The sequence below is a fragment of the Homo sapiens genome, chromosome 8 (assembly GCF_000001405.40).
Source record: "Homo sapiens chromosome 8, GRCh38.p14 Primary Assembly".
In the NCBI taxonomy this organism is placed as follows: Eukaryota; Metazoa; Chordata; class Mammalia; order Primates; family Hominidae; genus Homo; species Homo sapiens.
The window spans coordinates 89,524,261-89,536,527 of record NC_000008.11 but is presented as its reverse complement, the minus strand read 5'-3'; the positions used below and the strand labels follow the sequence as shown (position 1 = coordinate 89,536,527).

At 36.0% G+C, this 12,267-nt stretch overlaps 1 long non-coding RNA gene across 1 annotated transcript in view, besides 1 other annotated feature; it reads left to right on the top strand.

The window, feature by feature from the left end:
* Positions 567 to 1,118: an enhancer, noted in NCBI's record as "H3K27ac-H3K4me1 hESC enhancer chr8:90547639-90548190 (GRCh37/hg19 assembly coordinates)". NCBI's record gives its function as "activates a minimal SCP1, AML or CMV promoter by ChIP-STARR-seq in naive H9 embryonic stem cells {active_cell/tissue: H9 hESC(naive)}" and the evidence as "EXISTENCE:reporter gene assay evidence [ECO:0000049][PMID:30033119]".
* Positions 809 to 12,267, top strand: part of LOC105375631 (LINE-1 retrotransposable element ORF2 protein-like) — a 30,905-nt gene continuing 19,446 nt past the window's right edge. Inside the window, exons 1-2 of the long non-coding RNA XR_002956667.2 lie at positions 809 to 1,309; positions 2,895 to 12,267. The exon at positions 2,895 to 12,267 is cut by the window's right edge and continues 19,446 nt beyond it. This is a non-coding gene — a long non-coding RNA (LINE-1 retrotransposable element ORF2 protein-like). The remainder of the gene's footprint in view (positions 1,310 to 2,894) is intronic.

Sequence of the window (12,267 nt, the reverse complement as noted above, 5' to 3'; positions counted from 1 at the left end):
CGCTTCATTTCATTCATTTCATCTTCCATCGCTGATACCCTTTCTTCCAGTTGATCGCATCGGCTCCTGAGGCTTCTGCATTCTTCACGTAGTTCTTTAGCCTTGGTTTTCAGCTCCATCAGCTCCTTTAAGCACTTCTCTGTATTGGTTATTCTAGTTATACATTCTTCTAAATTTTTTTCAAAGTTTTCAACTTCTTTGCCTTTGGTTTGAATGTCCTCCCGTAGCTCAGAGTAATTTCATCGTCTGAAGCCTTCTTCTCTCAGCTCGTCAAAGTCATTCTCCATCCACCTTTGTTCCGTTGCTGGTGAGGAACTGCGTTCCTTTGGAGGAGGAGAGGCGCTCTGCTTTTTAGAGTTTCTAGTTTTTCTGTTCTGTTTTTTCCCCCATCTTTGTGGTTTTATCTACTTTTGGTCTTTGATGATGGTGATGTACAGATGGGTTTTTGGTGTGGATGTCCTTTCTGTTTGTTAGTTTTCCTTCTAACAGAGAGGACCCTCAGCTGCAGGTCTGTTGGAGTACCCTGCCGTGTGAGGTGTCAGTGTGCCCCTGCTGGGGGGTGCCTCCCAGTTAGGCTGCTCGGGGGTCAGGGGTCAGGGACCCACTTGAGGAGGCTGTCTGCCCATTCTCAGATCTCCAGCTGCGTGCTGGGAGAACTACTGCTCTCTTCAAAGCTGTCAGACAGGGACACTTAAGTCTGCAGAGGTTACTGCTGTCTTTTTGTTTGTCTGTGCCCTGCCCCCAGAGGTGGAGCCTACAGAGGCAGGCAGGCCTCCTTGAGCTGTGGTGGGCTCCACCCAGTTCAAGCTTCCCAGGCTGCTTTGTTTACCTAATCAAGCCTGGGTAATGGCGGGCGCCCCTCCCCCAGCCTGGCTGCCGCCTCGCAGTTTGATCTCAGACTGCTGTGCTAGCAATCAGTGAGACTCCGTGGGCGTAGGACCCTCCGAGCCAGGTGTGGGATATAATCTCGTGGTGCGCGGTTTTTTAAGCCCGTCGGAAAAGCGCAGTATTCAGGTGGGAGTGACCCGATTTTCCAGGTGCCGTCCGTCACCCCTTTCTTTGACTCAGAAAGGGAACTCCCTGACCCCTGGCGCTTCCCAAGTGAGGCAGTGCCTCGCCCTGCTTCGGCTCGCGCACGGTGCGCGCACCCACTGACCTGTGCCCACTGTCTGGCACTCCCTAGTGAGATGAACCCGGTACCTCTGATGGAAATGGAGAAATCACCCGTCTTCTGCGTTGCTCACGCTGGGAGCTGTAGACCGGAGCTGTTCCTATTCGGCCATCTTGCCATTTTTCCTTTTTATTTTGGGTAAGTGGCCTCTTAAAAACTAAGCCACTAGCTAAATATTTAACGTGACCACAAATTTCAGCTTGTGTTTGTTGATTAAACAACTGCTAAGTAGCCTCTCCTTTGCTTCTAGTCACTAGAAAAAGTTAATGCAGCTTTTAAACTGCATAATTTATAACTTGATGTAATAGGTTCAAGCCCATAAATGACATGTTTAATTAGTGTGAATTATGTACAATCTGGTTAAGGATTGTGCTCATTTTTCCAATGGGATATCCTTAGAGAAGGAGGTGCTTCAGAAGAACTAATTTAAAAGAGGCTGCACGTGTATTGTATTTTGTTCAAAAGCTTGCACTTAATGAAGTCACTTTGTTTTTTTAGTAAAACACCCAGCACCTGGCTGTTAATTAGTGATCCAGAGTCACTGAGTCAGAGGGAGACCAAGCTTCTATAAATCCAGAGAGTAAAATATACCTTCCATTTTCCCATGGGTCTATGTAAAGGCAGTGTTATATGAAATAGTAGAAAAGGAAGACTCCAAATTTTAATAATGTCAACAAGACATTTTTGATTCTTATCTGAAGTATGTGAATATATGAACAGTTTTCACAATTATGTGCAGGTTTGGGATTTGGGATACAGCATCACTGAAACATCTCAATCAGTAACATCCAGAATAAACTACAGCACTGCCAAAACTCCAAGCATATTAATCTACATTCTTGTGAACATACTCCTGTGCCAGAAATTCTCCTGAAGGGAACAAAATATACCTGCTGCATGCACTTCAGTAAGGTCTGCAGTGATGTCCTCTCCTATTCAAAACAAACATTTAAGATACATTTGTTCCTTTGTCCTTACCCTTCACTCTACCATTTATTAGAGATTATGATAGGCAGAAAGGTTGTCTTAAATGTGATCAACTAGGAGCAATGTGGAGTTTGTAAAACTCCAGCTGATTCAGCTAAATCAGGTTGGCTTATCTCGTGAACTATGCATTATTAGTTGGAGATATAAGCATTTTCTGCAAACCTCAGTTTCTATTTCCGGGCTGCTGTTTGACCTTGCATATTAGAATTAGATTTGCAACTTTTGCAAATATACAGGCATTTCTCTTACTGTGTGTAGCATGGTGACAAAAAATAGTTTGTGTAGTGCTAGGCACAGAACCCATATGTTCTGCTTATAAAAGCAGGAAGTTTGTATGTGCTTTCTTTTTATTTATAATGGGTCCTTCTACATTTGCTTATAATATACTTCATTTTCCTTCTTTATTTTCACAGTTATTACACACATAGTTTATTAAAGCAGAGTTTTAGCTGTTCTCTGGTGCCTTAAATCTGTATTAGAACCAGGTTGGGTATAAATAATAAAACCCAAAATCGGCTGGTTGCTCTGTTTAAGTGTTTTTTCCCTTCTGATTATTCTGCTTATGGTCTAAAATGTTTCTTTATCTAGGTATTTTTGGTTCTAGAACCACTTATTGATTTATATTGCTTAGAATATGGAGTTGACTTTTCATTTATGCATTCATTCACTCATCCATTTCCTAAAGGTCTAGAGACAGCCCGCTATATACCAGGCACTTTTTTTGGTCCTAAAACAGGTCATGCAAAGCGCCTACTCCCTTCTGAGATGACTCCAGACATTTTCGGGATTCGTTGAGGGTATGTAATATTCCATTTTATGTCAACTTGGATTGCTGGCTGTATAGCTCTTTTTCTGGTGTGATTGCTGTAGGGTTTCCAATATGCACACTTAACTTAATCACAAATAGTATTAAGTTACCTTTAAATAATCTTATTTAGTGGATAATGAAAGAACTTTACAAAGTATACTTCTATATTAGTTTTCTATTTCTGCTTAAGAAATTACAATGAACTTAATGGTTTTAAAGAACACCCATTCATTAGCTTACAGTCATGAAAGACGTGCAACTGGGTCCTATACTCAGATTATCATATAGCTGAAATCAAGGTGTTGGCAGCTGAGCTTTTATCTAGAAGGTTTGGCAAAGAATCTGCTTCCAAGTTCATTCAGGTTGTTGGCAGAATTCAGTTCTGTGTCCTGGTAGCCCTGGTGGTGGGTTGCGCTCAGTGTCGAGTGGCCTCCTATATTACTCGTCACCCCGACCCCCATTTTATAGCCCCAATACTTCACCTAATGCAGATGGTTCGTGAATTATGATGGCTCGACTTAAAAGTTTGCAACCCTAGAATGGTGTGAAAGTGATATTCATTCAGTGCACTCCACGATTTACATGGGATTACATCCACATAAACCCATACTAAATTGAAAATACTACCATCTCACACCAGTTAGAATGGCAATCATTAAAAAGTCAGGAAACAACAGGTGCTGGAGAGGATGTGGAGAAATAGGAACACTTTTACACTGTTGGTGGGACTGTAAACTAGTTCAACCCCTGTGGAAGTCAGTGTGGCGATTCCTCAGGGATCTAGAACTAGAAATACCATTTAACCCAGCCATCCCATTACTGGGTATATACCCAAAGGATTATAAATCATGCTATAAAGACACATGCACACGTATGTTTATTGCGGCTCTATTCACACTAGCAAAGACTTGGAACCAACCCAAATGTCCAACAATGATAGACTGGATTAAGAAAATGTGGCACATATACACCATGGAATACTATGCAGCCATAAAAAATGATGAGTTCATGTCCTTTGTAGGGACATGGATGAAACTGGAAATCATCATTCTCAGCAAACTATCGCAAGGACAAAAAACCAAACACCACATGTTCTCACTCATAGGTGGGAATTGAACAATGAGAACACATGGACACAGGAAGGGGAACATCACACTCTGGGGACTGTTGTGGGGTGGGGGGAGGGGGGAGGGGATAGCATTAGGAGATATACCTAATGCTAAATGATGAGTTAATGGGTGCAGCACACCAACATGGCACATGTATACATATGTAACAAAGCTGCACCTTGTGCACATGTACCCTAAAACTTAAAGTATAATAATAATAACAAAAAGAAAATACTGTAACTCTAAAATGCACTCTAAACTTACAGTGTTTTCAATTTAGGATGGGTTTAGAGAGAGGTTACCCTGTTGTGAGTCAAGAAGCATCTATGTTTTTCATGCTTCAAATGTCTTTGGATTCCTCTACTGAGAAAGTCTGAGAAAATTCTGCTTTTATGGGGCTAATGTAATTATATTAAACATATCCAGATAATCTCGCTATTTGAAGGTCAATGAATTTAGTACACTTAACTACACCTAAAAAATATCTTTTGCCAGGTAACATAGATAATCATGGCTGTGATAGCTTATCATTTTAACAATCCTGTTTGGGGATTAGGGCAGGAAATCTTCGGGTCCATTTTTGTAATTAGGCCTACCACAATTTCCACTTCACTTCAATTATTCATTGTGCTATTGTTACTATACATTTTCTACATCTGTTACAACTCTCAAGATACATTGTTATTCATTTTTTAAGTTAGTAATTGATTAGCCAAATTTTATTTAAGAAAATTTTAAAATGAAAAAGACATCTATATATGCCCACGTACTTAGAATTTCTAGTACTCTTCATTCTATTGTGTGTATCTGATTTTTCATCTGATGTTATTTTCCTTCTACCTGAGGAACTTCCACTACCATTTCTTTAAGTACAAATGTACTGGCCACAAATTCACTGTTTTATTTGTCCGAAAAATGTCATTATCCTACCTTCATTTTTGAAAAATACTTTTAGTGGATAAAGACGTCTAGGTTGACATTTATTTTCTTTTAGCTCTTCAAATTTGCCATTCCACTGTCTTTTGTTGAACATTGTTTCAGATACGATGTAAACAGATATTCTTATTTTTCCCTTCTATATAATCTGATCCCCACCTCCCACCCCTTGCTACTTTTAAGATTTTTTTCATCACTGGGTTTCAGCAATTTGATTATAATAGGTCTTGTTGCTGTTTTCTTTGTGTTTATCTTACTTGGGGTTTGTTGAGCTTCTCAGATTTGTGCATTTATAGCTTATATCAAATTTGGAATTTTTTCAATACTTAATTTCCCAAATATTTTTTCTGCACCTCTGTCTCACTCTTTCTGGCACTCCAATTACATGTATGGTAGTCCTCTTGTTATTGTCCCAGATGTCACTGGAATTTTGTTTTACTTCTCAATGTTTTCTTTTTTTCTTTTCTATACTTCTGTATAGATAGACTCTATTACTCTGTCTTTTCTTTCATAGTGTCCATTCTGCTATTGAGAAAAATCTAGTCTTTTTCTTTAATTTCAGAAATTTTTAGATATAGAATTTCAATTTTGTTCTTTATAAATTTTTATTTTTCTGCTTAGGTTTCCTATTTGTTCACTTATTTATTATGTCTATATATTTAAGTATTTGAATACATTTCTTATACCTTACTTGTTAATTACAACACTTTTGTCATCATTGGTTGTGTTTTTACATACTTTATTTTTCTTCACTATGTATTACATTTTTCTGCTTCTTTGCATGTCCACTAATTTTGATTACATGCTGAATATTGTGATGTTACATTGTTGAGAGCCATATTTCATGGTCTTTATTAAAGAGTATTGAGTTTTGTTCTAGCAGCTGTCTAATTTACTGGCTGGTAGGTTTTATGCTGTTGAGGCCAAAGTAATACTACTTTTAATGTGGGGCCTTTCTAGACTTGTAACTGAATGCTTGTGGAGTTCAGTGAAGCCACTCATTCTGGATAATCAGAACATTAATATCTGTCAGCACTGTGTAATCTCTGGGGCCTCCATTCAGTACAAGTCCCCAGTAACTCTTCTCTACCATGCCTCATGAAGTCTTGCCCTGTATAGACGCAAGTTAATATTGTACCAAAATCTCAGACATCTCTGCAGATTTCTGGAGATCTTTCTCTGTATAGCTTGCTCTTCTCTGGTTTCAAACCCCAAAAGTTTCTGATGCCTCAGCAGCCATTAACTCTGGTATTTTTTTTTCCCTACCCAGCAAGACTATTGCTTTTTTTCCAGGATACTTTTCTATGCTGCACTTTGCACCTCATTTCATCTGTATCCTTTCTGTAAAAAAATCACAGACCTTGGATTGTCTGGTGTCCAATTTTTAATAATGATTGATTCACATATTTCTAATTGTTCAAAGTGAGATGGTAATCCAATGCCCATTCTTCTGTCATGGCTAGAACTGAAATTTGGCCATTTAAAAATTTTGAAGTTATTTATTTGATAAGAACATACTTTAGGTATTAAACTCATTTGATTACGTGATTACTCAAGTTCCTGTATGTCATAAGAGATTTTATCTGGGATATGCATTTCAGAATACTCTATCGACTCTGTGTGTTAAGGAGACTACAGCATTCTTAAATTGAAATATTTCATGCCATCTTTAGTTTTATTTATTTTGCCTTGGGGAACTCGATTTCCAAGTCTTGCTCTCCACTTGTTTTCCCCTTGTGGCTTAATGTTGAAATTTAGATTAGGTTTCCTAGTAACATCTTAAAAATGCTTCATTTTACTCACCATTATTTTTATCTTTTGTGACCTTTCACTTGCTTGTAATTCTCCACAACTCTTCTCTAGTTAGCTTATTGCTAATTGCTAAAGTGGACCCAGTTGTAGAATGACTAATGTAAAGCTAGTTACCTATGAACATTCTTCTACCAATTTTAGGGTGTCTAGAGATTATTGTTCTATATCTGTATTCTCTAATGTATTGATTAGCCAAGTCCTTTTAGTAAGTGGTACCTATAGTAACTCTAATGGAGTTTTGTGTCTCGTGATGCACTCATTCAATTGATTAAACTCATAGCCAGTCACTTAAATCTGTCTTTCGTTTCCAGAATGATTTCATTTCTGTGTCATTAGAGTGGATGTGTTAGCTATGGACATACTATTTGCCAGGCTGCAAGTACACAACACAGTTATGAGGCTTCCCCTCGTTTAACCAGATCTCTAAAATGCCTTAAATACCACTCAAGACTTGTATCATGAGAAATCGCTTTTAGCATTCTAATTTTATCTTTTTATTAATATAACAGTATCTGCTTCTATAGTATAAATTCTGTTTAGTCAAGCAAATCTAACTTTTTTTTCCCTTGTGAACATATTCCTCCTTATGTTTTATAATTTGGACAAGATGTAAATTCTTCCTCTCCTGCATTTTCTTTCTATTTGCTATCTATCATTATATATTATTCTTAGTAGGTGGCTCTCTCTTAGGGTATCAACTTTGCTAAACTCTCCTGGCAATGAGTTGGCAGATGAGGGATCAAAAAGAAGAATTACTGTTTTTCCAACTATTTATCTTTGGGACTTTTTTATTTAGCATGATTATCTTCCCTTCTTTTCTCTTACTGTATTTGACAAATACTTAGGTACTAAACATGAAAGCACTTTTTTTCTGTCCTTTCTCTTAAGATAGTTAAGCTCAGCTGATAATGTCTCAGTAGGGACAGCAGTCTCGCTTCAACTGCATTGGATTTTAATTGCTCCCATCTTATGTTTTCTGTAATAGTAGCCATAGATGTGTTTTTAAATAGATTTATGGCTTTCTTTCTCCTTCACACAATAAAAATTTAGAGAGAGACGAGTTAACAGCTCTCTGCTCCCTTATTGTCTTCCGTGCTCTTCCTCCTACCAAAAAAGGTCTTTTCTATTTCTGTTTAAAATATGGGTAAGTGCAACTATGGTACTAATAAAAATTAAAATTATAGATAAATAAAAATGTGAGTCACTCAAGTCAATTTCTTCATTCAGAGAATGTCAGAATCTTGTTGTTGTTTTAGAGGTGGGGTCTTGCTGTGTTGCTCAGGCCATAGTGCAGTGGCTAATCACAGTTGTTGATTGTAGCCAACTACAGCTTCCAACTGTTGGAGGCTACAGCTCTAGCCTCCAACTTCTGGCCTCAAGCAATCCCCCCACCTCAGCCTCCTCAGCAACTGGGACTATAGGTATGTGCCACCATGCCTGGCTACTTTTTGGTGAATATGCTAGCATCTGGTGTTTATAGACCACAGTAGTGTATAAGTATTTCCACCCTGAAGCCTCACTCTAGATGGTCAGTCACAATGAAAGAAAATCTAACACCAACTGCAGCTTCATATATATTTATTACCAAGCAGGTACAACAGCCATACAACTTATCTATAGTCCTGTCCCAAGTGTACTCAACATCTTTCTTGAAAGACTTGCTCTGTGACTAATGTGATGATATTCTTATAGCATACTGGGCAAGCCTCATGTCAAAGCAGGAAGCAGGATCCTCCAAACTCTGTATGTAAGAAATATCATCTTCCTTTATGTTCCTAAATCGAGGGTATTCTCTTTTGAGTTCCCCTCCTCTTCTTTGTCTTAGCAGGAGATGAGACTGTATTTTGTCTACTCTCTAGATAAAATTAAGATTCCTTGGGTCTTAAGCAGATGGAAATATCTGGGGTTGGAGCTTGGCATTCAGTTCACATTTAATAGGCCTTCTGTCTAAACTTGCTCACAAGGGTTGTGAGAATGGGTTGCTCTCTGTGCCAAATTTTGAACCTAGGAACTTTTCTTTAACATCACCACAGTATTTTATGATTGGTACCAGGCTTCCTTAGATCACTTTATCAGGGGTGTACTTCAATCATTCTTGTATAGGAGCTAGTCTCTATCTTTATCTGGTACTAGGTAAGTCATCAAGTGTTAGTCATCGGAACCCTCCACCCCAACCTGCCTGTTTTCAAGAGCACAAAAATGTGAAAAAAATCGAAACCTTGTTAACTTCTCCAGGATTTTATAATCAATAATTATAATTTCAATGGGCCTGTAAAGTTTGTGTTTTACCATGTTGTTTTATTTTGAATTACGTGAATGGGTGAGCAGGGACACTTAAATCTTTTAAAACCTAGAAAGATCTTCATCTGGCCCTAGTACCCGAGAATAAACACCCCACTCTTCCCAGCTTCTGTAGTGTGATTTCACCCTCATTTCCCATCTCTCACCCACTAGGACCACCTTTCATTCCAAAAGGAATGCTGGCTTTTGGTTCTGGGGCAAAAACTGTCAGTTTTCTTCCAATTAATTAACTGTTAAAAACATGTAAGTTTTTGTGGTTTATTTTCTTGAAGATTTTGACAGCTTTCCAGCTTGTTCTGTGTTGTGAGGTACATTGCATGTATCCTTAAGTGTATTAGCATGGGCATATTTTTATGTAGTTTTAAAATTTGTCAAGTGAAAGTCAACAAATATTTTAATTAACTAAAATTTTAAAAGATCTATGAAAGCTACTGTTTATAATAGCTTTAAAATCATGGAATTTTAACTTTTAAAAAAGTTTAAATCCTACTTTTTTCTTAATTATTGTTTTAACCCAAGTAGTGTACTTAATTCTATTTGTTTTAATTATAAACATATTATGAATAAGAGAAGTTTAAACCCTCAGTACCTTGCCTGATCGCTTATCATTATTTATGTTGATATTTAGATATAAATACTTTGAAAAAAGAAAAATAAGTTGAATTTAAATGCTCTGAGGCTGAAAAGAATGAGTATACTTTAAGTTGCTAAGATTTTTTTGGGCAAGCCATGGTTTTGTTATTTTAACAAAAAGTCCTTAAAGCAAAAGTAGAAGTTCATATATTTTTAAACTGTAATTTATGGAGAACTATTTTGTCTGGAGCTAAAACTAATTAATACTTTAATAACTTTTTCTATGATTTTTTTTTTCAGATAAATCGTAAAGTTAACTCGATCATTTTATATTCTTACGGAAGGAAAAATATCATGTTCATCAGATGTTTTATAAATATTTTTCTATGGAAAGATAGAACTTAATTAAATTTTCTGTTCCATATATGATCCATTTCAGGGTGTCCAATCTTTTGGCTTCCCTGGATCACAATTGGAAGAAGAATTGTCTTGGGCCAAATACAAAATACACTAACACTAACAATAGCTGATGAGCTAAAACACACACACACACACACACACACACACACACACACATCTCATAATGTTTTAAGAAAGTTTGCAAATTTGTGTTGGGCTGCATTCAAAGCTGTTCTGGGCTGTGTGCAGCCTGAGGGCTGCGGTTGGACAAGCTTGGTCTATATCTTGCTGTCAAATATGATAGCCACTAACCACATGTGGCTATTTAAATATAAATTAATTAAAATTAAGTAACTTTTAAAAACCAGTCCTTCATTTGCATTACCTACATTTCAAGTGCTCAATAGTAGCTATGTTTGAATACCACAGATAGTAAATATTTCCACCATCACCTAAGTTCTGTTGGTCAGTGCTGATGGCCAATTATATGAGACTATCAATTTATAATTAAATGCATAATAACATAATTTTTGTTTGTTAGCATCTACTAATACATTACAACATGTTGTATAAGTACAAATATCTGTTTAATTAGATCTCAGATGATGAAAGCAAAACCTTGTAATTGTTTTCTGGAGTTTTTTTGATTATTCATATGTCATTTCTGAGTAGTCTGTATTTATATATTAAAAATGGAAAACATAGGCAGATATCATCAGTGTTTGTTTATGTTTAAAAATAACTTCTAGCATATTTAAAATACGACAAACATAAGTATTTAGAAAGGAAAAGTCATTCATATGAAAATGGGAGAATATAGTGGTTTTGATTGACATTGTTTTAAAAGCCAAAATAGATTCTCCAGTAGAGCCATTTTTTTTTTTTTTTAACCCTGAAAGAGCAGGTTCTACAACACTGGCCAAAATTTTGTTTAGCCATTTTTTGCATAGATTTCATTATGGACTCAACCCTTCCAGCAACCTGTAGAATGGAAACAGTTTTCAAACCAAGGCCAATGAAATTTGAGGAGACCAGCCACTAACACTGCATGTTTAAACTCAACTTGTATTCTAATTTCTAGAATATCAGTATCTGAGCTCTGACTGGATTGAACTTCAGAGGTCATTTAATGTCTCATCCATAGATCTTGAAGTGGACAGTGACTTGCCTAAGTGGACATAAGTGCACAGTGGCAGAGCCAGAGCTGAACTCAGATTTAGTGACCTCTCATCTCAGGCCATTCTCTGATTTGGTACTTGAGGTTGGTATTGCTTCTCTGCACCACACTTGACTCCAGTGTGTGATAATTCTGACTGATTTTGATTTTATAACTGTTAAAAAAGTATGCACTATGGAGTGTAAATGAAGAGGAAAAAGTAGAACCACTTAAGTAATACATTACATTTGAAGGAAAAATTTATGTGAATAAGTTTTAACATAAAATCTTAAAAATTTATGGGTCTTAAGTATATATTTTTGGATATTTATGATAAATTGATACAGAAAACAGGCAAAAATAACATATATAGTATGATTCCTTTTAAATAAAATGAGTATCATATAGAAACTAGACTAGAGAATATATTCCAAATTGTTAATAATGGCTGGGTCTGAGTATTATGGGTAATTACAATTTTTTTCCATTATATCTGCCTTCTATTCTGATAACAAAAATAAATTTTAATTTGTATTGCATTTTTATTCAGGAGTGAATAAATAGTTTAGATAAATTTTTGAGCAAAATTAGAGTATTTTGAAAATAGCTAAAATTTGTTAGATTTTAAAGAGAAGACTAAACTGTGATTAATACCTTATCTCTTACTAATTTAAAATATTCTTATATATTCAGGTTTATAATTTATAAAAATACCTTAAGAAGGTTAATATTCTCTAAGAAATACGAATGAAATTTACCTAATTAGAAATTGTCTTTAGCTGTTTATTTAATCTTCTGGTATTAATAACAACACTCAGAATTTTTATCTTAAACCTTTCTTAACACCATAATTATCTTCTGAATTTAAATAATATCTAATAGCTTCTACCTTTCTTTTTAACTTGGTTTGAAAGTATTTTCTATGTATATTGTACTTGTCATATTCATGTATATTCACTAATTATTTCACATAATTTAACCCTTAAATTGCACCATTATGTATTGAATATATTAT